At 42.0% G+C, this 27,406-nt stretch overlaps 1 protein-coding gene across 37 annotated transcripts in view, besides 1 other annotated feature; it reads right to left on the bottom strand.

The window, feature by feature from the left end:
* Positions 1-27,406, bottom strand: part of GBF1 (golgi brefeldin A resistant guanine nucleotide exchange factor 1) — a 152,254-nt gene that overhangs the window by 58,827 nt on the left and 66,021 nt on the right. The window lies entirely within an intron of this gene.
* Positions 17,704-17,998: a silencer, noted in NCBI's record as "tiled region #15234; HepG2 Repressive non-DNase unmatched - State 15:Elon". NCBI's record gives its function as "represses a minimal TATA promoter and a strong SV40 promoter by Sharpr-MPRA in HepG2 cells {active_cell/tissue: HepG2}" and the evidence as "EXISTENCE:reporter gene assay evidence [ECO:0000049][PMID:27701403]".

The following is a 27,406-nucleotide window of genomic DNA, read 5'->3' as shown; positions in this document are numbered from 1 at the left end:
AAAGGAATAATACTCTCTTTTTTCCACTTGCACCAGTATAAGAGAGAGTTCTTATGACAAACCATAATGAGGGAAGGGGTTGGACTTATGCTGGGGAAAAGAGGGGAAGGCTAGCCTTCCTAGAAAGTAGGCAGGCAGGGTTCAGAAGAACAGGGCCAATTTACACCTGTCTCTTTGTCTGGTATTTCATGCTCAAGTGAACTCTGTATTTCTGTCCATAAGAGTTAAACTTCATCCAGGAAAACAAATGTGAAGATGGAAACATTAAAAGAAAGGCTTCCCTTGCTACCCCCTTCAGATTCCTATTTATGACAATGAATATAGTTATTTGGTACTGAAATTTGACTGGATTAAACAAGCTTATGGCCAGGCATGGTGGCTCACGCCTGTAATCCCAGCTCTTAGGGAGGCAGAGATGGGAGGATAACTTGAGCCCAGGAGTTGGGCAATATAGCGAGGTCCCGTTCTCCACATAAAGGAAAAAAAAAAAAAAAGACAGAAAAAAAAGTGCAAACATGCTTAAAAGAACTTAGTCTACACTGAAGTCTAGGGTAGCTACCTGGAATAAAAGAAGAAAAGGAAGAAGACAAGGGCCAATGAACAAATGCCATTATGGCAGTTAATCTCCAAAGGTAGTCCCTTACAGTGCCACCCCTCACATGTTCCTCCTCCAATCAAGAGGTACAGCTTGTGTCTGCTCCCCTTGAATCTCGTCTGTGACTGCTTTGACATACGGAATGCAGAGAAAATGACAATCTGGGACTTCCATGCCCAGGCACTAAAAAGGCTTTGAAGCTTCTTCTTCTTCTTTTTTTTTTTTTTTTTTTTTTCAATTTTGGAGATCTAAACTGCCATGTACACAGTCTAAGCTACCCTGCAGGAGAGCTAGGTCATGAGGAAAAGCCCTGGAGATTGAGGTATCATGTCAAAGGAAGCCACATGGTACCAGACATCCAAACCACAGCCGCAGCTGACTGCAACCACAGGAGAGACTGTGAGAAGAGGTGTTCAGCTGGGCCCTGGACAACCCACAAAATTGTGATACAATAAAATGGTTGTCGGTTTAAGCCACAAAGTTTGGAAATGGTTACACAGTAATAGATCATTGAAATGGCTGGCTCTTCTTTGTCTTCTTCTTATTATTATTATTACTTTGAGACAGTCTTGCTCTGTCACCCAGGCTGGACTACAGTGGTGTGATCTCAGCTCACTGCAACCTCTGCTTCCTGGGTTCAAGCGATTCTTGCTGAAACAACTGGCTCTTATTAAAAATGAAGCTAACTTAGGAAACTGGGACTACAGACATGCACCACCATACCCAGCAATTTTTTTTTTTTTTTTTTTTTTTTTTGTAGAGATGAGATCTCACTATGTTGCCCAGGCTGGTCTCAAACTCCTGGATTCAAGAGATCCTCCTGCCTCGGCCTCCCAAAGTGCTAGAATTACAGGCATGAGACACCACATGTAAGGAGAACTACTAACACTAGTATTTTGTCATGGGCATATAATGTAAACTGTATTGTAGGAATAAAGGGAAACTTACCCAGTTTTAGGTGAGATAAAAGGAATTTATAGTGGGGAGAAATCCTATTTCCTTTAGCAATTGAACATACACATATTTAGGAATAAATCTAACAAGAAATGGACATAAACTGGGGAAAGAAGAATCTACAAACTTTACCAAGGTCACCAGAGAAGTCTTGACTAAATGGAGAAGCCATAACATGTTCCTGGTTAGGGAGGCCAAATATATTATAAAGATGTCAATTCTCTCCATACTAATTTATGTTTTTGAATCAAAATCTTAAAGGTCTTTGAAAAAGAACTTGAATAAGTGACTCTGTACTTCATGTGAAAGAAGAACCAGATGAAGATAGCCAGAATATTTTTTCAAACAACTAATGAGGCCAGGCATGGTGGCTTGGCTTGCGCCTGTAATCCCAGCACTGTGGGAAGCCGAGGTGGGTGGATTGCTTAAGCCCAGGAGTTCAAGACCAGCTTGGCCAACATGGTGAAACCCTGTCTCTACAAAAAATACAAAAAATTACCTGGGCGTGGTGTTGCAGGCCTGTAGTCCCAACTACTCTGGAGGCTGAGCTGGGAGGATTGCTTCAGCCCAGGAGGTTGAGGCTAGAGTGAGCTGTGACTGCACCACTGTACTCCAGCCTGGGTGACAGAGCAAGACCCTGTCTCAAAAACAAACAGGCTGGGTGCAGTGGCTCACTCACACCTGTAATCCTGGCACTTTGGGAGGCCAAGGTGGGCAGATCACTTGAGTTCAGGAGTTTAAGGCCAGCTTGGGCAACATGGCGAAACCCCGTCTCTACAAAAAATTAGCCAGGTGTGGTGGCACACACCTGTGGTCCCAGCTACTCGGGAGGCTGAGACAGGAATATTGCTTGAGCCCAGGAGGTGGAGGTTGCAGTGAGCTGAGATCGTGCCATTATACTCCAGCCTGGGTAGTAGAGCGAGACTCCGTCTCAAAACAAAAACAAACAAAAAACTAATTTCAGGAAGTCTGCAGTATCATTTTAAAATGTCTTATAATACTACAACAAATAAATCAGTATACTATTGGCAAAAGAATAGGTAGGACAATATGTAGTATATGATATATGATAAAGAGCATTCAATAAATGGGATGTTAGGTGGGAAAAGTTAAATTCCTATTTCAGTCCACTTGACAGAATAAATTATATTGATTAAAGAAAGATGCAAATTAATACACTTATTAAATATTTATGAGTGCCAACTTTGTGCCAGTCACCAGGCTAGATAATAGATATATGATGGTGAACAATGCAACACAATCCTTGTCCTCATGGAGTTTCCTGTGTAGTGGGAAAGACATTAGGCAAGGGATCACACAATTAACTAATTATAATTGTGACTAATTATAAGTTATGATTTTAACACTAATTGTAAGTGTTATGAAGAAATACAAGGTGTTCAGAGTGGTTAAGAATTAAATATAGGCTGGGCACCGTGGCTTATGCCTGTAATCCCAGCACTTCGGGAGGCCAAGGTGGGTGGATCACTTGAGGTCAGGAGTTTGAGACCAGCTTGGCCAACATGGTGAAACCCCATCTCTACTAAAAATACAAAAACTAGCCGGGCGTGGTGGTGCACACCTGTAATCCCAGCTACTCGGGAGGCTGACGCTTGAGAATCACTTGAATCTAGGAGGTGGAGGTTGTAGTGAGCCGAGACTCCGAGACTGCACCACTGCACTCCAGTCTGGGCGACAGAGTCAGACTCCATTTAAAAAAAAAAAGAATTAAAAATAAAAACTAAAATATATAATAAGTAGAATAAAATGATCTTGAGGTGAAAAGAAAACTGTCTGAGATTCATTAACAGATTGCTTCTCAGCCTTTCAGCTAAAATCAAGCATAGATTCATTAACAGATTCTTAGCAGAAGAAAAGGAAATATAAGCAGAGCAGAAAAGGCTGAAGAGCAAGTTGCTTTAGAAGGAAGTACCAATAAGAAACAAGCTCTGGAAGGAGGCACCAGGTAGAAGGTGAGACATGGAACAGAAAACAGGGGGACTAATTGAGAAAACAGAAAAAATGGAGAAGGGGGAAAAGGGGAAATTATTGAGGAACTAATATAAGATCATTTCCCAAAATCAAATGATATAATTTTGCAGATCAAAAAGACCCTTACTAAGAACCTAGCAGAATAACTAAAAGAGACCCACACCAAGTGTTTCAGAATAATGAGGATAAAGAAATTGTAAGAACTCCAGTTTAAATATAAAGGACTGAGATTCAATATGGCATCAGACTACTCAAGATCAACACTGGAAATGAGAAGAAAAAGAAGCAGAGCCATCAAGTTTCGAAGGAAAACTATTTCCAAACTAGAATTCTATATCCGGTAAAACCTTCAATTAGTGTCAGTATAGAATAAAAAGATAGCTTCAGATAAGCAATGTCTAAAAAAACCATACATCCCCAGGTGTCCTTTCCTAGAAGCTACTGGATGACGTAAAAAATAAAAAATAAAAAACCAATGTGAGACAGTAAATCAAGAAAGAAATGGGCCAGGTGCAGTGGTTCACGCCTGTAATCCCAGCACTTTGGAAGGCAGAGGCACATCACCTTAGGTCAGGAGTTTGAGATCAACCTGGCCAATATGGTGAAACCCCATCTCTACTAAAAATATAAAAATTAGTTGGGCGTGGTGGCAGGCACCTGTAATCCCAGCTACTCAGGAGGCAGAGGCAGGAAAATTGCTTGAACTTGGGAGGCGGAGGTTGCAGTGAGCCGAGATCACATCACTGCACTCCAGCCTGGGCGACATGAGTGAAACTCTGTCTCAAAAAAAAAAAAAAAAAGAAAGAAAAAGAAAAAGAAAAAAGAAAGAAATGGACATAGCATAAACAAGAAAAAGGAGATCTAGAGAAAACTGAAGGGAAGTTCCAGAAGGACAGCTGTGCCTGAGGTCTAGACAGTAACCAATACAGAATAGAAGAAGAGGATGGGAGGCTCTGAGAAGGAGTTTCTAGGAAGAGATAAAAATGGAAGAGAAGAGCTGTGTGTTTGACCACGTGGAAAAATAATATTCAGTTTTTAAAACTTGTAGAATTTGAGAAGAAACAGTAATAGTAACAGAAAACAGCATATTTTCAAAAGGAAGGGAAAACTTGAATAATGAATTCAAATGAATAATACTAAAGATCTTTTTTTTTAGAGACAGGAGTCCTGCTATGTTACCCAGGCTAGCCTTTTGTTGTTGTTGTTGTTGAGACGGAGTCTCACTCTGTCACCCAGGCTGGAGTGCAGTGGCGCGATCTCGGCTCACTGCAAGCTCCGCCTCCCGGGTTCATGCCATTCTCCTGCCTTAGCCTCTCGAGTAGCTGGGACTACAGGCACCTGCCACCACGCCCGGCTAATTTTGTTTTGTATTTTTAGTAGAGACGGGGTTTCACCATGTTAGCCAGGATAGTCACGATCTCCTGACCTCGTGATCCATCTGCCTTAGCCTCCCAAAGTGCTGGGATTACAGGCATGAGCCACTGCGCCCAGCCTACCCAGGCTAGTCTTGAACTTCTGGCCTCAACAGATCCTCCTGTCTTGGCTTCCCAAAATGCTGGGATTACAGGCATGAGCCACTGTGCCCAGCTATAAGGTCTTAATAAGGTAAAGAATGAGTACTGGTTTAACCAAATGGGGTGATAATTATATTGGGAGGATGGAGGAAAGGAGAATGGGGTGGTGAGTATTGCAAATGTGCTATATCTACATGTAGGAGTAGGAAGTCAATAGATAATGCTTAAAATGTAAAAATCCTATTTAAAAATGTAGTATCAACATATTATTTAGAAATAGAAAAGAAAACAACTGAATAAACAGCTAAAAGAGTTTAGGGAGGGGACCTTGAAGGGGGGGAAGTTGGACTTTGCAGCACAATTTGACTTTTTAAAACTATGTACATGTATTACCTAAAGAGAAATAAAAATAATAGAAGGAATTTATTATAAGGATCCTTAAGAGTGATAAGCAAAAAATCGTGTACCAAGATATTTATACCACATTGCTTATAATATTGAAAAACTGGGAATAATCTAAATAACCACTGGGCACGGTGCTCATGCCTGTAATCCCAGCACTTTGGGAGGCCAAGGTAGGTGGATCGCTTGAGCCCAGGAGTTCAAGACCAGCCTTGGCAACATGGCGAAACCCCATCTCTACAAAAAAAAATTACAAAAATTAGCCGGGTGTGATGATGCGCACCTGTAGTCCCAGCTACTTGGGGGGCTAAGGCAGGAGAATCACTTGAGCCCAGGAGGTTGAGGGTGCAGTGAGCCACACCACTGCCTTCTAGCCTAGGCAACAAAGTGAGACACTATCTTAAAATAAATAAATAGACTGGGCATGGTGGCTCACACCTGTAATCCCAGCACTTTGGGAGGCCGAGGCCGGGCGGATCACAAGGTCAGGAGATCGAGACCACGGTGAAACCTTGTCTCTACTAAAAATACAAAAAATTAGCCAGGCGTGGTGGCAGGCGCCTGTAGTCCCAGCTATTTGGGAGGCTGAGGCAGGAGAATGGCGTGAACCCGGGAGGCAGAGCTTGTAGTGAGCTGAGATCACACCACTGCACTCCAGCCTGGGTGACAGGGCGAGACTCCGTCTCAAAATAAATAAATAAATAAATAAAAATAAATAAATAAATAACCAACAACAGGAAGCTCTTAAATAAATTCTGTAACATTCATACAATGAATAATATCATTAGATCTTATTTTCTAATGTGTAATGATGTGGGACAATGCCCATAACATGATAAAAGAAGAGGCAAAAATGTATAGAATATGATTCCCATTTTGCTAAGGGTGATATTGTGTTTGCGTGCGCTAAAAAAAGATAAAATAATAGTTATCTTTAGGTGATTGGACTATGGAGGTTCTTGTTTCCATCTCTTTAAACTTTTTTATTTTTTTAAAGATGTAGTCTTGCTCTTGTCGCCCAGGCTGGAGTGCAATGACGTGATTTTGGCCACAGCAACCTCCGCCTCCTGGGTTCAAGCGATTCTCCTGCCTCAGCCTTCTCAAGTAGCTAGGATTACAGGCATGTGCCACCATGCCTGGCTAATTTTGTATTTTTAGTAAAGATGGGGTTTCTCCACGTTGGCCAGGTTGGTCTCGAACTCCTGACCTCAGGTGATCCACCCACCTTGGCCTCCCAAACTGCTGGGATTACAGGCATGAGCCACCATGCCCAGCATCTTTAAACTTTTTTGTATCTTCCTAAATTTATATAATAGTCTATGTAGACATGGGCTATTATTATTTTTTAGATACAGGGTCTCACTATGTTGCCCAGGCTAGACTTGGACTTCTGGGCTAAGCGATTCTCCCATCTCAGCCTCTGGAGTAGCTGGGACTACCAACACATGCCACTGTGCCTGGCTTATATTACTACTAAATGTTATTTTTTAAAAGCCAGTTAGAAAAAAAAAGGGGGCACTGGGCAGCCTAAATCACAGAGTCTGAAGACTATTATTACTAAGTTTTAGTAAAACTCACTTCCCAAAACTTAATATGAGCACTGCTTTGTTGTTCATGAATAGCTAAAAATGATGTTTAGCATAATCTCCCATTATTAGGGAATTTAAAATAATTATTTAAAATGGCATTTATAGGATTACTGAAACAATACTGGCCTTCCTGCATTCAAATCCCTCATCCTCTCCTTCAGTGAATATTATTTTGTACCTTCTGTGGGCCTGGCACTGCTAGCCATTGGATATACAAAGAAGAATAATCCAAAGTCTTGCTTACAGACTATAGACTACACTAGCTTTTATGACCACAGCCAAACTTCAAATTTTCTGGGTCTTATTTTATCAGTTGGTCTATCTGTCTATCTATCTAAAAGGATAGGACTGGAAATGGCCATATGGCTCAGAAATTCAATGACTATGATTTCTGATTGTCAGGCATGCCAAGTATTCTACTCGTTAACTGTGGCACAGTTTTATATCTGTGACTCACTGAAGACCTAAATGGTGGTTCTGTTCCTAATGCTTGTTAAAAAGACACTAATATTGTGATGAGATGGAGAACAGGTAAGAGGAAGAGGACTACTAAAATTACCAAGAAGTATAAGCAATCCATGTCCTTACTTAAACTGTACTCAGTCAAAAACTAGACAGGTCAAAAAGTAGAGGGAAGGCCGAGCGTGGTGGCTCATGCCTGTAAATCCCAGCGCTTTGGGAGGCTAAGGCGGGCGGATCACCTGAGGTCAGAAGTTCAAGACCAGCCTGGCCAAGACGGTGAAATCCCATCTCTACTAAAAATACAAAAATTAGCCAGGTGTGGTGGCACACGCTTGTAATCCCAGCTACATGGGAGGCTGAGGCAGGAGAATCGCTTGAACCCAGGAGGCAGAGGTTGCAGTGAGCTGATATTGCACCACTGCACTCCAGCTTGGGCGACAGAGTGAGACTCCATCTCAAAAAAAAAAAAAAAAAAAAGTGGAGGGAAGGAAAACAGAAAGGTAAATGACAGAGACTACTGTCCTCATCCTGATATGAATTGGTAAGAGGATATAGCACTAATAGTACTATATTAGTACTATTACTAGTATTAGTATTATATAGTCTGCTATCAGAATTAATTTCTTCCTTCTTAGAACTTCTATAGAGTTCTGTTGCTTTAGTATAGCATATTCTGGTTTATGGAATTGCTAAATTGTAGTCTGCAAGCTCCTGGAAAGCAGAAAGGGACAAGGCTTCTTTGCTTTTCTGTTACCTACAGCAGGGGTCCCCAACCCCAAGGCCATGGACCACTACCAGTCTGTGGCCCATTAGGAACCAGGCCACACAGAAGGAGGTGAGCAGCGGGCGAGTGAGCATTACCACCTAAACTCTGCCTCCTGTCAGATTAGCGACGACATTAGATTTTCATAGGAGCACAAACCCTATTGTGAACTGCACATGTGAGGGATGTGAGGGATCTAGGTTGGTGCTCCTTATGAGAATCTAATGCCTGATGAGCTGAGGTCGAACACTTTCATCCCAAACACCTCCCTTGCCCTCCAGCCCCACTGTCTGTGGAAAAATGGTCTGCCATGAAACCAGTCCCTGGTGCTGAAAAGGTTGGGGAACCGATGTTCTACAGTGTTAGTTACATTCTCATAAGGAGCACGTAACCTAGATCCCTCATGTGTGCAGTTCACAATAGGGTTCACACTCCTATGAGAATCTAATGCTGCAGCTTAACTGACAGGAGGCAGAGCTCAGGCAGTAATGCTTGCTCGCCCACCACTTACCTCCTGCTGTGCGGCCCAGTTCCTAACGGGTCCGTGGCCAGGGGGTTGGGGACCCCCTGAAGTAGAGGACCATGAACATAGTAGTCTTCAACTGATGTTTCTGAATTGGTGGAGAAAGGTCCTATGTAAGTACTGAAGAAACCTATACTCCAGTATTCCTATCAAAGATTTCTTGTTATTTCCAGGAAAATTGGTAATAAGCGATGTTTACAAGGAATAGGGCAGCACCTGAACAGAAGGTCCCCCCATATGTGACCAGTGGCTGTTGGCCAGGAGTGTGAGTTTAGAGAAGTAACATCTCTGAGAACAGCCTGCCAATGGTGATGGAAAGAAGCCTAAACTTTGAGGTGGCTGTATTTGGAGGGGAGGCCATTTTGTGCTCTTTGGGGAAAATGTTAATGAGAGGTTTCACAAATGTCAGACTTGCCTGATTAAATGAAGCCAGCTAGGTAGATGTTTTTCATATTAATGCCATCTCTGCTGAAAGAGCAAAGAAGGGGAAGAAAAGGAGGTTTGAGAAAGGGAAACGATAAACATCAATTATTTACCAAAGAAATTATGCTTCTGCTAACTTGGGCAAGGATCTCAGAGAAGAGAACTGTTATATGGCAGGCATGGCTACTCCATCTCCTTACCCATTTCAAAAAGAAAAATTCAAGCCTTGAAGCCAGGAGAAGTAATAGAACAGTGAGATCATTGCCTGGCCTAGGGTGTCTACTGATAAAGAATTTAAAGGAAGCTAAGGAAGTTAAATTGTAGAGAAAGCTCCATTTGAACCGTTACTCTTAAAACTTAAAGGAAGAAAGTATAGGAGGAAAAGTCACTCAAATAATTGACAGGTTGCTGGGTGCGGTGGCTCATACCTGTAATCCCAGCATTTTGGGAGGCCTAGGCGGGAGGACTGCTTGAGCCCAGGAGTTCAAGACCAGCCTGGACAACATAGGAAGATCCCTGTCTCTACAAAAAAAATTAAAAATTAGCCAGGTGTGGTGGTGTGCACCTATGGTCCCGCTAGTTGGGAGGCTGAGACAGGAGGATCACTTGAGCCCAGGAGGTTGAGGCTGCAGTGAGCCATTTTCACACCACTGCACTCCAGCCTGGGCAAAAGAGCGTAATCCTGACTCCAGAAAAAAAAAAAAAAAAAAAGATATGTTTAAAGGATTTCTTCTTCCTTAGTTTGAGCTTATGTCTTTACATTTTTTCAAATGCATATATGGTTTCTTTTTTTCTCTTCTTTGACTTTACATGCACAGAACTGGATTACTTATAATCCCTGTTCCTGACATACGCTCTCATCACTGCTCCTAAAACTGTTACCAAGAGTTTAATAGTTTCTGCCATCTAAATTAAAGGGTAGAGGTGGGAAAATACTGTTGATTAAGAGAGCTCAGCCTCCTTTTGGCCCTTGTTTCTCCCTAGCCCAGCCTGCAATTGTGTCCCAATCAACCAGCATTAATACAGATACACAGAGGTATTTATTTGCTGCTGATTCTGCCTAGCTGTATTCAGACTCGATCTCCATGTGTATTTAATAAATCACACTAGTTAGGTGGACAGGATTAGTTCCAAGTCACCTAATGACTATATCATGAACTGCAGCATTAAGGGGATTAATATTAATCTGAGCCATTGTAGTTCAGTGGAAAAGCCAGTTCATTCTCCAACAGGAGCTCAGGCCGACAAGAAATCCTCAACAAGACCAGGAAGATTAATGAGGGCTTCTACATTCTGCCTGCAAATCTTCACCTACCAGGGTGTGGGGCAGTGAATCCCAGTCCAGACGAGCTCATAAATAACCTGCAATATCACAAGTATTTGGGGCAGCTGAGCCCCAGCAAGGGAGGGCCAGCTAGCCCTCTCCATCTTCTCCTCCTGTAACCCACACCACTGAGATGGCACAGGAATTTTACAGGCCCACAGAGCGGCTGGTTTTGTTTTCTTTCACGTAAGGGCCCACACCTCGTAAATCACTTTCTTATTTCAGGAAAAGAAGTATACTGACTGCAGTACCGACTCATGTGTACTCAGAAGAACATGAAACTTGTAGTTAGTGCCACTCGCCTAAAGCTGGGAAAATAACCCAGCCTCCATGATACACAGAACGTGCTTTCAAGTCACAAAAGCTTTCCTTTGCTCAGCAGCACAATTCCTCTTCATTAGCACCTATAATATGCTATATCTGGATTAGGCCTCTGGAGTTCCCATTCAGAACTACTTTCTTGGCCCTGCCTAAGTGAGCACTCACTAGAAAGTACTGTATCTATAAGACACCACAGCCCTGCACACAGGGCTAAGGTGTGCATTTCCACACACCTTAGCCCCAATTTCACCATTTGGAGACCATCAAGATGAGCCTAGCCAAGCCTCAGATTTCCACAGGACAAGGCACAGCTCAGATTTAACTGACTCAGAAAGGAAACTCATGATGCCAGTATGAGACACAGACAGAGAAAGCAACAGACCACAATTAAGCTCAATTCACTGGAAGATCTGTTTCTTCCTCAGTGACTTTACAGGTACCCGAGGCAAACACCAGGAGCAGTGTCTCATGGGCAAAGCTCTATCTGCTGAAGAAACCAAAACAAACAGTTGTTTCTACCTGCAGCAGTTTCATAGTCTGGGAACACCAAAAGTATAGGCTTACTCCAACTAAGATCTTTTAACTAAGATCTTTTAACCTGCATAGACGACAGCAGGTCAGCTGTCAGCATTCCCTTACAACGGATGGAATTGCTAACTAGAATAGTTACGCCCTACCAACAAAGATTATTGAATTGAAAACTAAACTTTAGTAGCATTAAAATAAGTGAACCAAGGGCTGGGTGCCAGGTTATCCAAAGTTTATAAATGCTTGCCAACCAACCTACACATAGAGCTGCCGTGGCTACAGCTAAGCAAAAGAGAAGAGACCCATTAAGTGGATTGTTCCTCAACCCCACAGCAGAGTAGGGCAGAGAGAGATTTAACATTTTCTTTCTTTTTTTTTTTTTTTCTGAGACAGAGTTACGCTCTTGTTGCCCAGGCTGGAGTGCAATGGTAAGATCTCAGCTCACCGCAACCTCCACCCCCGAGGTTCAAGCCATTCTCCCGCCTCGGCCTCCATTGAATAGATGGGATTACAGGCATGCGCCACCACGCCCAGCTAATTTTGTATTTTTAGTAGAGACAGGGTTTCTCCATGCTGGTCAGGCTGGTCTCAAACTCCTGACCTCAGGTGATCCTCCTGCCTTGACCTCCCAAAGTGCTGGGATTACAGGCGTGAGCTACCACGCCCGGCGAGATTTAACATTTTCTAAGTTTGTGAACAGTGCACCATACTTATAGAAGAGATATTTAAAAGTGGGGCCTACTCAAGCTCTTCATTAAGTAAAGGAGGAGCTGAGGGAATTGTTATGGCTGGGTCTCTGTTTTTCAGTTAAAACACAAGGGATGAAAGACTCTTATTTGCTGGGGAAATGCCCTGAAATGGTAGGGAACCAATAAACCCTCAGTTCCACTGGAGTAGTTCAACTTTGGGGAAATTCATGGGGCATAGGAATAGTTGATTCTACAGCTAGCAAAGGCAGTTCATTTGAGTGGGAACAGAAGAAATTAGGCCCATAGCCACAATTCATATTTTCCTGACAGCCAAGCTGGTTTGGATGAAGTCACCAAGGGACTGACAGGGTCAAATGACAGAGGTTTTCTCATCACCCTTAGCAAACCAAGGTTCGTAAGTTCCCATCAGACACCCTGGCCTTGCTTCTCAAAAGACAAACACATAGAAGCAATAGCGTAAGATCATCCTGGAGAAAAAGATGGGAATGTGTAGCAACTTTTCTTGATACTTGCAAATGGCTCAATTCTCTCTTCACCTATATTTCCTGTACCATGACTTCATTTTCCCTTCCCATCCCCTGCAGCTTCTCTTTTAGTTCTAAGAAAATTAACCACTCCACACACAGACTATAAAGCCCTTTCTTCACAGCCGCGTTAGCCTTTCTTAAGGCTCACGCCAGTGGTGGCCCCAGAACAACTAAGGACATTAAACAGAAGTGTTATCATGCTAAAATCATGTGTATACACCACAGCAATCTGCTTAAACTTGCAGCCCTGATGCAGAGTGACTAGGAGTATTTACAGTACTTAAGAGCTCCTCTGTTTCTTGCCAGACATTCCTGTCCTTTTAATAAATAAGTCCTCAAGCCATCAGAGGAAAGATGCTCCCTGGACATGGGGTACTTGTGTTATATCACTGTATGGGAAGGGGACTTCTGTAAGTGGCAGCAAACTTCTTTCCTCAAAGCACCCTCTAAAGGAGAGTACCCTGCACACTGCTGAGTCCCCAGGCCATCATGTACACAGGAACAGGGCCATCCAGCGGGATGCATCAGGCTCCAGGAATGCTGAAGTCCACATATTTGCCATTCAACACCAAAATGGCTTTTCAAGTTCAATCAGCTATAAATGTTGCTTTGTTTTAATTTTCCACTGAACTTCCTGGAACCTATTATCCAACTGTCAGGGATGTATATTTAGCAAGAGCAACATGGCCTCTTTGCCGCTGCCCCACTGCTCATGTCACCTCTAATAAACAGAAAAATCAACCCCTTCCTCAATCCCTGCTCAAATGTGGCTTGGGGGTGATAAAGAACAGTCTTGGTGTATAGGCCACAAACTGATCAACCTCCCATAGTTAATGTGTAAACCCCAAATCTCTCCTAGGTTAATGATGCTGCAAGGTTTTCTTAGTGCCAAGAAAAACACCTAGTGCTTATACTCATTAGAATACAAATGTGCGTGCAGGCCTCTAGTCTAGGGAATGCCAGCAGTAGAAATGACCTAACAGAGATCTAACACAAATTAAGAGGAATCTCAACTAATACAGGCGTAGCAGACCTAAAATATTCAGTGCTAATCAGCATATCATGTTTAATAGGAATAATCTGAAAAACCAAAATCAGGAAAAACAAGGATAAGTAGGGCACATGTACAGCTTCAATTTCATCTTAGGAAGCTAGTTTGAAAATATAACCTCCTTTTGATCAATAGAACATGAGGCACGACTTTTCCCACTCTGTCAAGATTCTTTTGTCTTTTTCAGCTACTGACACTTTTTACTCTGACATCAAACAGTAAGAATAGACTTGCCTTGAAGGCGAAACATATGTACCCTATCACTTTTCCAATTCACCACTTCTACCAACAACAAATCCACCTAAATACCGTAACTATCCACATGGCTTCTTTCCAGTTCCATAATACCCAGTACAACTCTTCAAGCCCAACAGAAAAGATGAGGACTATATATGTTTAAAATACAGTTGGTTGTATTTTCCCTAAATTATACAAATGAAAACCAAGAACCAAAAAATGAGATTTTTCTACAACTTAGAAACCCAGACTATATTAACACTAGAATTGAAACTAATTTCTAGGACTAACTCAGCATCACTAAATTAGCTTCTGGTTAAAATTTTATGCCAACAGATCTAGAATGGGGAGAAAATTCAGGAGAAGAGTAAAACAAAATCTTACCTTTCATTCTACAACTAATAATGAATTAAATTCCAGATCCATAAACAAGGACACACAAAAATCATAACTAGGTTATGATTTAACTAAAAAACAAAGATGAAAACAAAACCCCAAACCAGCCTTATCTCAACAAATACAGTGCACAAGAATCTCCTCATCAGCTATGGGAGGTGAACAAGCAATATCTCACTTACAAATGAGAACAGTGAAGCAAAGCTTTAAAAAGCCACAAACTCAGCTTACTAAAGAAAAAGAACAAGCTTCACATTTACAACCTCTGGGGACTGACCCTGATGGGGTAAAAATCAGTATTACAGAAGAAATAGTAGACCTCCTTCTTGCCATTTCATTTTCGTGACCTTATACTCATTTCCCCAAAGGCCATCTTATTAGAGCTGATGACTAAAATAATTTACACACTTGCATCCACAGATTTAACATTTACTATTTCAGCTATTCAAGAGTGACTCTGAAGGAAGTCCCAAGACAAGCTGTAATTAATAACTTTTCTGAGACATGAGTTTGATTCCTGCTCTAAGGCTGATTGGTAGCAGTAAGTTGTTCACCTAGTGACTGGGCCTAGCTGATTACTCAGTTGTGCAAATTGAAGCCCTCTCTCCTCCATCAGCTCTAATAAGACAACACCATTAAGTGCATAACTCAATGAATTTTGCAAACCTAACCACTCATGTAGTCGGCACTCAGATCAAGACACAGAGCACTATTAGGACCCAGAAATCCCAATCATGACTTCTTCCAGTTGCAATCCCTCCAAAGATAATCATTATTCTAACTTCTTAAACCACTGATTTTCTCTGCCTGAACTTTACATAAATGGCATCATGAAGTAGAAGCTCCTTTGGTTTGGCTTCTTTTTTTTTTTAATTTTATTATTATTATACTTTAAGTTTTAGGGTACATGTGCACAATGTGCAGGTTAGTTACATATGTATACATGTGCCATGCTGGTGTGCTGCACCCATTAACTCATCATTTAGCATTAGGTGTATCTCCTAATGCTATCCCTCCCCCCTCCCCCTACCCCACAACAGTCCCCAGAGTGTGATGTTCCCCTTCCTGTGTCCATGTGTTCTCATTGTTCAATTCCCACCTATGAGTGAGAACATGTGGTGTTTGGTTTTTTGTCCTTGCGATAGTTTACTGAGAATGATGATTTCCAATTTCATCCATGTCCCTACAAAGGACATGAACTCATCATTTTTTATGGCTGCATAGTATTCCATGGTGTATATGTGCCACATTTTCTTAATCCGGTCTATCACTGTTGGACACTTGGGTTGGTTCCAAGTCTTTGCTATTGGGAATAGTGCCGCAATAAACATACGTGTGCGTGTGTCTTTATAGCAGCATGATTTATAGTCTTTTGGGTATGGATTGGCTTCTTTCACTCAATATTATGCTGGAGAAAGTCATCTGTGTTGTAAGATATTGTAGTTTACTAATTCTCATTTATTTATAGTATTCCACTATGAGAATTTTCACATTTTACTTATCCATTTTATTTCTGATGGAGATTTGGGCAGTTTCCTCTTTTTTTTTTTTTTTTTTAGCTTCTGTGAACAACACTGCTATAAACATTCTCATAAACATCTTTTGGTGAACATATATATGATTACCTGCTGGGCATATTCTTAGAAATGTAATTGCTGGCAAATCAGCTCTTGTAGATGCAGCCAGCTTTCCAATTTACCCTATTTACCCTTAGGGTATGAAAGTCTGAGTTACTCCACATCCTTGCTATCACTTGATATTGTGTATCTTTTTCATTTTTGCTATTTTGCTCTATGTGTAGTAGTATTCTATGGTGGTTTTGAAGTTCCCTAATGACTAATGAAGTTGAGCACCTTTTCTTATGTTTACTGATTATTTAGGTATCCTCTATTGTGAATGTCTGTTCAAGTCTTTCTCCCATTTTCCTACTGGGAAATCTGATTTTTTGTTTTTTTTGTTTTTTTTGAGACGGCGTCTTGCTCTGTCACTCAGTCAGGCTGGAGTGCAATGGCGCGATCTCGGCTCGTTGCAACTCTGCCTCCCGGGTTCACGCCATTCTGCTGCCTCAGCCTCCCCGGCAGCTGGGACTATAGGCACCCGCCACCACGCCCGGCTAATTTTTTTGTATTTTTAGTAGAGATGGGGTTTCCCTGTGTTAGCCAGGATGGTCTCAATCTCCTGACCTTGTGATCCGCCTGCCTTGGCCTCCCAAAGTGCTGGGATTACAGGCGTGAGCCACTGTGCCCAGCTGGGAAATCTGCTTTTTTCTTATTGATTTACACCGGTTCTCACAGGGACCTTTTTTTTTTTTTTTTGCCAAGGTTGGTGATTTGTGAACATCACTATAACAATTCCTTTCAAAAAGCAAAAATGTACTGTATTTCATATATGTCTCTATCATTCTGTAGTTAAAAAATTCAAACTCAGCTCATATTCTAATTTTTAAATAGCAGAATCAGAATCAGAATCCTCAGATTTTATCATCCTGAGGCTCTTGGCATCTAATAGCAACATGCACTGAAGTCCATGTTATAGTAAGAGCTGAAAATCATCCTCCCACTATAACAGGAACAAAAGTGTGGGGAAAGAGGAAGAGAGAAAGCAATACTTTTCCTGGGATGAAAGCCTCTACAGCACAAGGCCTGATTAGTAAATGGAAATTCTGGATAGTCTCTGAATAGAATCCTTTTCCACCTTTCAAATAATTTACAGCTTAATGTCCGCTAAATTTAGTAACTTCTCCCATTTGTCCATGGCAAGGAGATTCTTGGCTGGCTTTCCATGGTCATTACAGACCTTCTCATAGATCCCTGAAATATGATGTGGCCATCAAAATGTCAGCACTTACCTGCTGCCCACATTGTGGACACATGGATCAGTTCACAGGTCAGTGACTGATAACATGAGGAAACAAGACCAGCTTCAGATCTAATTCAAGAATAGATACCTGACCATCCCCATGTTCTCAATAATATAAGCTAATAATAATGGCCAATTCCTTGGCCACATCAGTAACTATCTAAAGAGACAGCCCCGGCTGGGTGCGGTGGCTCACGCCTGTAATCCCAGCACTTTGGGAGGCCCAGGTGGGCAGATCACCTGCAGTCAGGAGATCAAGACCAACCTGGCCAACATGGCAAAACCCCGTCTCTACTAAAAATACAAAAATAAGCCAGGCTTGGTGTCAGGCGCCTGTAATCCCAGCTACTCGGGAGGCTGAGGCCAGAGAATCGCTTGAACCTGGGAGGCAGAGGGTGCAGTGATCCAAGATTGCGCCATTGCACTCCAGCCTGGGCGACAAGAGCAGAACTCCATCTCAAAAAAACAAAAAAACAAATAAAGAGACAGTCCCTCCCAGAGCAATCACATAAGGGTGGAAGAAAGAGCATTAATAAATAGAGCAACCAGGTAGTGAAACAGCAGTAATTCTGTTGAAGAGAACTCCCATGCTCAGAAACCTTCAATGAATGATTTCCCACTTCTATTAAAACTGAATTAAGGGGAATAACAGAATTTAGAGCTGTAAGGAAACAGACACCCAGCTCATTTCCCGTCTCATTTGTGTTTATGTGTGTGTTTGAGTAGTGCAGCTGAGGTCAAGAGAGGTAAAATCACTTACCTAAGGGTAACACAGCTAATTATGATAAAGCCCAGTCTATATCTCAAGTCTTCAGGCTTCTTCTTAGGTATCCTTTAATTGTATATATATATAGTAACCTTGCTCAGTTGGTATTTAAGGGCATCCACAACATGAATCCAACCTACCTATTCATCATTCTCTCCCTCTGGAGATCCCTGCTCTCCCCCAAACCTATCATCCTATTTCCATCATTTTGAGAGGGATGCTCTCCTTTTACCCTTCACCTGCCCAGAACAGTACTTCACACTCATTTAAAGTGATCATGTTTGTATTACACAAAGCACCCACAAGTGTCTGGCATACAAAAGATATTCAATACAAATTTATTGAAATGACTCTTTAGGAGAGAAACACAATGAAAGGACTCGAATTTATTTCTTTTTTTCTTTTTTCTTTTTTTGGAGACAGAGTCTTGCGTCATGGCACTCCAGCCTGGGCGACAAGAACGGAACTCCGTCTCAAAAGAAACACAGTGAAAGGACTCCAATTTCTTTTTTCTTTTTTTTTTGGAGATGGAGTCTTGCTCTGTTGCCCAGCCTGGAGTGCAGTGGCATGATCTTGGCTCACTTCAACCTGTGCCTCCTGGGTTCAAGTGATTCTCCTGCCTCAGCCTCCCAAGTAGCTGGGACTACAGGCACGTGCCATCATACCCAGCTAATTTTTGTATTTTTCACTATGGGGTTTCACTAGGTTGGCCAGGCTAGTCTTGAACTGCTGACCTCAAGTGATCTGCCTGTCTTGGCCTCCCAAAGTGCTGGGATCACAGGGATGAGCCACTGCACCTGGCCAGGACTCCAATTTCTATAGCTAGGAGAAAGATTTGTCCAGAATTAGAAGTACAGTGGTACCTCTTAATATTATTTCACCTCTTAATATTATTTCACTGAGGTGATCAAGTACACACACACACACACACACACACACACACACACACACACACACAAATCTGCATATAATTTCAGAAGGTTCATTAATCTCCTGAAGCCCATTGCTGGATCCCAGATCAGAATGCCTGATCTCAATCCTTCTGGAACCAATGTTTTACATAAAATTTTTATTTTGGTATGAACCACCACACCCAGCTAATTTTTTATTCTTTTTCTTTCTTTCTTTCTTTCTTTCTTTCTTTTTTTTTAAGAGATGTGCGTCTTGCTATGTTGCCCAGGCTGGTCTTGAACTCCTGAGCTCAAACGATCCTCCTGTCTCAGGCTTCTGAGTAGCTGGGACTACAGGCTTGCACCACCACACCCGGCTTGTATAAAATTTTAAAAATTTACTTACTACTACATAAGGAAGAACTTTTCCTTTTACCTAATTTCTTTCTTTCTTTCTTTCTTTTTTTTTTGAGATGAAGTCTCACTCTGTTGCCCAGGCTGGAGTGGAGTAGCACAATCTCAGCTCACTGCAACCTCCACCTCCCAGGTTCAAGCAATTCTCCTGCCTCAGCCTCCCTAGTAGCAAGATTACTGGCGTGTGCCACCGCACCTGGCTAATTTTTTTGTATTTTTAGTAGAGATGGGGTTTCACTGTGTTGGCCAGGCTGGTCTTTAACTCCTGATCTCAGTGATCCACCTACCCTGGCTTCCCAAAGTGCTAGAATTACAGGCATGAGCCACCATGCCCGGCCCCTTTTACCTAATTTCACCTTGAAGATTATGTTCCTAAATCCTAATATTCTAAGACTGGAAAGTATTTTATTTTACCACTCCAAAATTTTCTCAGATTTAAAAAATATATATATCTTTCTTAGATGCTGCAACCAGAACCACATACGGCATTCGAAGTCTTTGCATGTTGTAATGTTTTCAAAATTACATACGATGTGGCCCATGACTGTGAGGACCTCTTTAGCTATAAAACAAGTAAGTATTCAAAGAACGGTCCATATCCCCTTTCTAAGTCAGAATATAGATTATAAAAGGCCAATGAATCTTAAATATAGTTTAGATTTTCCCCTTAAGTATATATTGGCTTAAGCTTAAACCTTATGTACCATTTTTCTGTTTGGATATATTTTTGCAGTTATTTTATTCCTATTAGAAGAACTTAATTATATGTGAAGATGGAGACTTCACATATAATTCATTATGTGCTCTCTAAAGGCAATGCCTTTGGAGTAAAAAAAAAACTAGATTAAAATCCCAGTCCTGGTATGACCATAGCAAATAAACTTCTCTAAGCCTCAGTTTCTGCATCTGTAAAATGACAAAGAAAATAGCACAACCCTACCTCCTCGGCTTGATAATTAAACAAAATAATGTATTTAAAACATTCAGATAAGAATAGCTAAGGAAATTTTTGAAAAAGTAAGTACTGAGAGGGTACCTGCTTTGTATATTGAGATTTATCATAAAACAACAATAATATTTGAGATAATTTAGAGTACTTGGTAGAAAGTCGGATTAAATTTTTGAAGTCCTTCACAATTTTAATGCCATGCCTTAGCCTGGAGAACTGAAGCTGCGTGGTGTGAGCTGCCTGAATATATGACAGGAGGCTTACAGACACTGTAATCCTTAACCTGTTCTCACTCAGGTGTAGCAGTATTCATATGGAAACAACCTGAATTATTCTTTAGGCAGCCATAGCAGTAGAAAGTCATCAAGATTTTCTAAGACCTCAGGGAGGCTGTGTAAGGCTTTTTCTAGGAGAAATAGGTACAGACATTAGCCATTTTACACCAGGGCCATTTATGGTCAATTGATTTTGACAAGGATGCCAAGACCATGCAATGGGGAATAGCCTTTTCAACAAATGTTGCTGGGACAACTCGATACCCACATGTAAAACAATGAACTGGACCCCTACCTCATATCATATACAAAAATTAAAGCTGGTCATGGTGGCTCACGCCTGTAATCCCAGCACTTTGGGAGGCCGAGGTGGGTGGATCACTTGAGGTCAGGAGTTTGAGACCAGCCTGGCCAACATGGTGAAACCCCATCTCTACCTAAAATACAAAAATTAGCTGGGTGTGGTGGCATGCACCTGTAATCCCAGCTACTTGGGAGGTGGAGGCAGGAGAATCACTTGAACCCAGGAGGCGGAGGTTGCAGTGAGTTGACATCGTACCACTGCACTCCAGCCTGGGCAACAGAGTGAGACTCTGTCTCCAAAAAAAAAAAAAAAAAAGCTTAAAATGGATCAAAGATCTAAATGTAAAAGCTAAAACTCTTGAAAGAAAACATAGATGTACATTTTGTACCAGAGTTTCTCAACCTTGGCACTAACGACAGTTTGGGCCACGTAATTCTTCATCATGGGGGCTGTCCTATGCATTGTAGGATGTTTACCAGCATCCCTCCTGGCTTTGATCCACTAGATACCAGTAGCATGCCTGAGATATGACAATCAAAAATGTCTCCAGATATTGCCAGACTTTCTCTGGGGGGCAAAATCACCCAGTTCAGAATCATTGTTTTAGTCTTAGTGATGATCCTTATCCTCCTCCCTTGTAAAAATTGACAATGACTACATCATAACTACATGAATGGTTATTTGCTTAGTAGATGAATTCTAAGAATTCTTCAGAAAAGTCATTAAATACTCTAAATCCATAATTTTAGGATAATCTCAGGACCTTGCCTAAGGGCCAGTAGCCCCATTTTGAAAAGTTTAGTTTAATTCCTTCCATTGGAAGGTCACAGATCAGTATGATGATTTTTTTTTTGGTATGGCATTTTTGTTTTGTTGTTAACAGCTTTATTGAGCTATAACTCACCCCTTATATATTGAGATATAGTTCACTCCTTTAAAGTATACAATTCAATGTGTTTTAGTATATTCAGAGTTGTGTAACCACGTACTATATGATGATTTTTGAAAATACTAACCTCTCCCCTCTCCCCTTTCCCTCTCCCTTTCCACAGTCTCCCTCTGATGCCAAGCCGAAGCTGGACTGTACTCCCGCCATCTCGGCTCACTGCAACCTCCCTGCCTGATTCTCCTGCCTCAGCCTGCCAAGTGCCTGGGATTGCAGGCGCGCGCCGCCACGCCTGACTGGTTTTTCTATTTTTTTGGTGGAGACGGGGTTTCGCTGTGTTGGCCGGGCTGGTCTCCAGCTCCTAACCGCGAGTGATCTGCCAGCCTCGGCCTCCCGAGGTGCCGGGATTGCAGAGGGAGTCTCGTTCACTCAATGCTCAATGTTGCCCAGGCTGGAGTGCAGTGGCGTGATCTCGGCTCGCTACAACCTCCACCTCCCAGCCGCCTGCCTTGGCCTCCCAAAGTGCCGAGATTGCAGCCTCTGCCCGGCCGCCACCCCTTCTGGGAAGTGAGGAGCGTCTCTGCCTGGCCGCCCATCGTCTGGGATGTGAGGAGCCCCTCTGCCCAGCTGCCCAGTCTGGGAAGTGAGGAGCGCCTCTTCCCGGCCGCCATCCCGTCTAGGAAGTGAGGAGCGTCTCTGCCCAGCCGCCCATCGTCTGAGATGTGGGGAGCGCCTCTGCCCCGCCGCCCCATCTGGGATGTGAGGAGCGCCTCTGCCCGGCCGCGACCCCGTCTGGGAGGTGAGGAGCGTCTCTGCCCGGCCGCCCCGTCTGAGAAGTGAGGAGCCCCTCCGCCCGGCAGCTGCCCAGTCTGAGAAGTGAGGAGCCCCTCCGCCCGGCAGCCGCCCCGTCTGGGAGGTGTACCCAACAGCTCACTGAGAACGGGTCATGATGACGATGGCGGTTTTGTCGAATAGAAAAGGGGGAAATGTGGGGAAAAGATAGAGAAATCAGATTGTTGCTGTGTCTGTGTAGAAAGAAGTAGACACAGGAGACTCCACTTTGTTCTGTACTAAGAAAAATTCTTCTGCCTTGGGATGCTGTTAATCTATAACCTTACCCCCAACCCCGTGCTCTCTGAAACATGTGCTGTGTCCACTCAGGGTTAAATGGATTAAGGGTGGTGCAAGATGTGCTTTGTTAAACAGATGCTTGAAGGCAGCATGCTCATTAAGAGTCATCACCACTCCCTAATCTCAAGTACCCAGGGACACAAACACTGCGGAAGGCCACAGGGTCCTCTGCCTAGGAAAACCAGAGACCTCTGTTCACTTGTTTATTTGCTGACCTTCCCTCCACTATTGTCCTGTGACCCTGCCAAATCCCCCTCTGCGAGAAACACCCAAGAATGATCAATAAATACTTAAAAAAAAAAAAAAAAGAAAAGAAAATACTGATTCTCTTATATATTTTAAACCACTGTCCTAACAAACTACTCTTAGCATAATTAACGAGAACTAAAACACAAAACCAAAATAAAACAATAGGCTAGTCAATTTGGCATTGTCTCCTCAAAGCCACAAAAGAGTGATGTTCCTCAACAGCAATCAATAACTTAGTCACATATGTACAACAAGCTATAAAAGAAGCAAACTGAATGACGACGGAGCTTTGCTTGAAATTTAGTGTCACTGTTGTAAAGAAATTAGGAAAAGTTAAGTCACTGCTAAACCAATGCCCTGTACCAGGAACCACAAACATTCCCCTTTCCCCCCTGCTTCCTGAATTCTGGCGTCATTAGGTAAAAATGAATATACAGACCAGTAAGTGCCAACTAACATAGCAAGCATTCTAAGGTCAGAATCCTTTTTACCATTTATTTAACTTGTTTTGATTCAGGTTGTGAGTTCCTCTACAAAAGCACCACCCCACTTGATGGAAAGGTCATGGTTTCACTTTAGAACCTCTTTTTCACTGCTAGTGTAACTACAATGCCACTGCGACCTTAACTTTTTTTTTAGCTGTTGAATAATGCTTGCCCTACTGCTATCACTGTCTAATCCAGAGACTATGGCTGGCAGGAAGAAATGCCTCTGGAAGCTACAGCTGTTATACAGAACAGCTACCATCTTCCAAGTATAAGAACCACTTCCAGCTCCTTCTTTGACCAGTTTGCTCAGTCCAAATTTCAGATCTAATCTGAAGCCAGTGAAAAGAGCTGTGGCTTCTAAGACCAAAGCTATTTTGTTGAAGAATACTATCAAGGGAACTGTATATGCAGCCAGACAAGAAGTCAGTTGCAAGATACTCCAGAAATACTAGGCCTAATCCTCCACTGTCCAGAAAACCTCAGATCCCCTGCCAAATCATGTGAAAACATACTCCACCTGACTCAACAGTTACTCATTTTTCTCACATTTACTGACCATACCCATGCAGATGGTGTGAAAGTTTATTCTATCCTACTTTAAATGAATGTCACCATATTTAATATCATACTTTTAATAACAATGATAAAATAACAATAATAAAAATAATTTAGTATATAGTTATGTACTGTATAGTAGGTAGTACACAGGTATGTGTAGGTTTTGTTACTGCCCCATTTTTTACATTTATTTTTTAATTTTTTTGGGACGGAGTTTCGCTTTTGTTGCCCAGGCTGGAGTGCAACAGCGTGATCTTGGCTCACCACAACCCCTCCACCTCCCGGGTTCAAGCGATTCTCCTGCCTCAGCCTCCCAAGTAGCTGGGATTACAGGCATGTGCCACCATGCCCTGCTAATTTTGTATTTTTAGTAGAGACGGGGTTTCTCCATGTTGGTCAGGCTGGTCTCGAACTCCTGAACTCAGGTAATCCACCCGCCTCTGCGTCCCAAAGTGCTGGGATTACAGGCATGAGCCACTGCGCCTGGCCCTTTTTACATTTATTTTTTTAACAAATTAATGTATAGTAAATGGATTCCTTGGGGAAGCGTATTATCTATGAGTTTTAACACATGTACTAACTCATGTAACCACTACCACAATGAGGATACAGAACAGTTTCATCTCCTCAAAAATCACCTCATACTACCCCATGGTAGTCACACGCTTTCCCCACCACCAACCCCTGGCAATCATGCTTGTTCCTGGTCACCACAGTTTTGCCTTTTCCAGAATGCTATGTAACTGGAATCATTCACTCAGCAGAATGACTTTGAGATCCACCTAGGTTATTGCATGTATCAATAGTTCTTTCTTATTGCTGAGTAGTATTCCATACCATCCTCATTTTATGGTAAGTGCCTCATAAGGCACTTAAAGTACAGCAAGGTTATGCAACCTGCCCAAGGTCATCAAGGTGAGGCCAGTATTCAAAGCCAGTCTGCATGGCTTTAGAACCTATATACACTCTTAACCACTATGTTATACTGCCCCTATTAATCTAAGCTCTTAGAAGAGGGGGATAGTAGTCCATGATCCTGATTTAAACATTAAGAGCTTTTCTAGAACAACAGAACAAATGAGTTTCATATTTACCAAAAATGAGGATGAGAATAGTCAAGACTTCTAGTGACAATTCCAAAGCTCTCAAGGGATCTTGATGTAGAGGTAAGAGTAGGAGGTATAATCAGTGAAACAGGCCTAGGTTTACAGTCCCACTTCTGTGACTTACTAAGTATGTGACCTTACACAAGTTCTTCACTTTTTGGAACCTCTGTTTCCTCTTCTATACAATGGGGATAATATTACCTTGAAATATCCTTGGGGGAACTCAATGAGATGATACATACAAAGTTCCTGATACAGAGTATTATTACCACCTATATTGAGTAGAGACAAAAAGAGAGGCCAAAATGCTTACGAAATATACGAGTATTTATTAATCTCTGAAAGATTTAGAAGGCATGGTCCCTGACTACAAAGAGCACATATTCTAGCTAAAAGATACACTTTTCTAAAAGTAGAACTAATGTCATGATATAATATGATGCTAAACTGTGTGACTGGATCTACAAATATAGAGATAAACTCACAATTTTAGCCAATAGCTTTAACTTTCTATTTAATTTTTTAAAGTCAAAATCAACACTCAGGTGTGGACTCGACTTGTCATCTAGTCTAGAACATTACCTAGGTATAGATAACAGCAAAGCCTTTACTAGTCGACATCTAGAATACATTTTTAAAACTATTAGTTTCGGCCGGGCATGGTGGCTCATGCTTGTAATCTCAGCACTTTGGGAGGCTGAGGCGGGGGGATCACGAGGTCAGGAGTTCAAGACTGGCCTGGCTAACACAGTGAAACCCCGTCTCTACTAAAAATACAAAAATTAGCTGGGCGTGGTGGTGGGCGCCTGTAATCCCAGCTACTCGGGAGGCTGAGGCAGGAGAATCACTTGAAACCAGGAGGCGGAGGTTGCAGTGAGCTGAGATTGCACCACTGCACTCCAGCCTGGGTAACAGAGCTAGACTCTGTCTCAAAAAAACCAAAACCAAAAACCAAAAACAAAACTACTAGTTTCAACTCTTTCATTCCAGGTACCTGCATCAATTTCAAAGTGGTATTTGTTCTAACAACTTTTTACCTATGAAAGGAAAAAAATTCTATAAAAGGCCTGAGTTTTATACTACTTGATGAGTGATTGGTTTATAAAATTTTCAAGTTCTTTAGGAAAACAGAGTATACTTCAAAGGGGTTATGAAAAGGTCCAGAAGGACTCAAATTCTATGTCCAAAGGAATTCAATAAGATCATTTCTTTCCCTTCTGCTTCCATTTGGTCTGAGTGGAAAAATATATAAACAAACAGGAGTAGTATAAGAAGGTAAAAAAGAAGAGAATAAGCTGGAATAGTAGAAAGACTATTCAAATCTATCTACAAGAGTCATTCTAATTTCTTCTGGTGCTTTCTAGTAATCTCTCCTCAACTGATGTTTGCTATGTGAATCTTTGCTAGTACAGAAATGGTTTTTCAAAAGTCAGCTCAGGTTTATTAGGCTTTTAAATTAAGCATGCTAACAAAACATACATAAAACAAAACTGCCTGAATCCTTATTTCCCAATTAGACCTGGGAGCAAAGTCTAGTGATAACTGTACAGCAAAGCATCTAACGAAGGCTGTCACAGCTACTTAGCAACACATCCCCAATAGCTGGCAAGTCTGTACATCTATGCTGCTTGCTTAGTGCTCTGGACTTAGAGAAAAGAATTAAATTTTAAAAATAAATGTTAAAGCCCACACACAGCAGCAATTTTTAGTGGCAGTGAAATGTCACTTGGGGACCAAATAGAACCAAGGGGTTCATTTTTCCAGTCCTGCCTCATCTTAAGTCTTATGCTTATAACTTGCTTAAATGCTACAATTACCTTTTTTTTCCTTTTTTTTTTTTTGAGACAGTCTCGCTCTGTTGCTCAGGCTGGAGTACAGTAGTGCGACGTAGGCTCACTGCAACCTCTGCCTCCCGGGTTCAAACGATCCTTGTGCCTCAGCCTCCCAAGTAGCTGGAATTATAGGCACGCGCCACCAGGTCCAGCTAATTTTTGTATTTTTAGTAGAGACGGGATTTCACTAAATTGGCCAGCTTGATCTTGAACTTCTAGCCTCAAGTGATCCGCCCACCTTGGCTGCCCAAAGTGCTGGAATTACAGGTGTGAGCCACTGTGCCTGGCCTACAATTCTTTTTTTTTTTTTTGAGACAGAGTCTCACTCTGTCGCCTAGGCTGGAGTGCAGTGGCACGATCTCAGCTCACTGCAACCTCCACCTCCCGG

The sequence above is a fragment of the Homo sapiens genome, chromosome 10, assembly GCF_000001405.40.
Source record: "Homo sapiens chromosome 10, GRCh38.p14 Primary Assembly".
NCBI lineage: Eukaryota > Metazoa > Chordata > Mammalia > Primates > Hominidae > Homo > Homo sapiens.
Note: the sequence above shows the minus strand (reverse complement) of the source record. Positions and strands in the feature narration are given on the sequence as shown.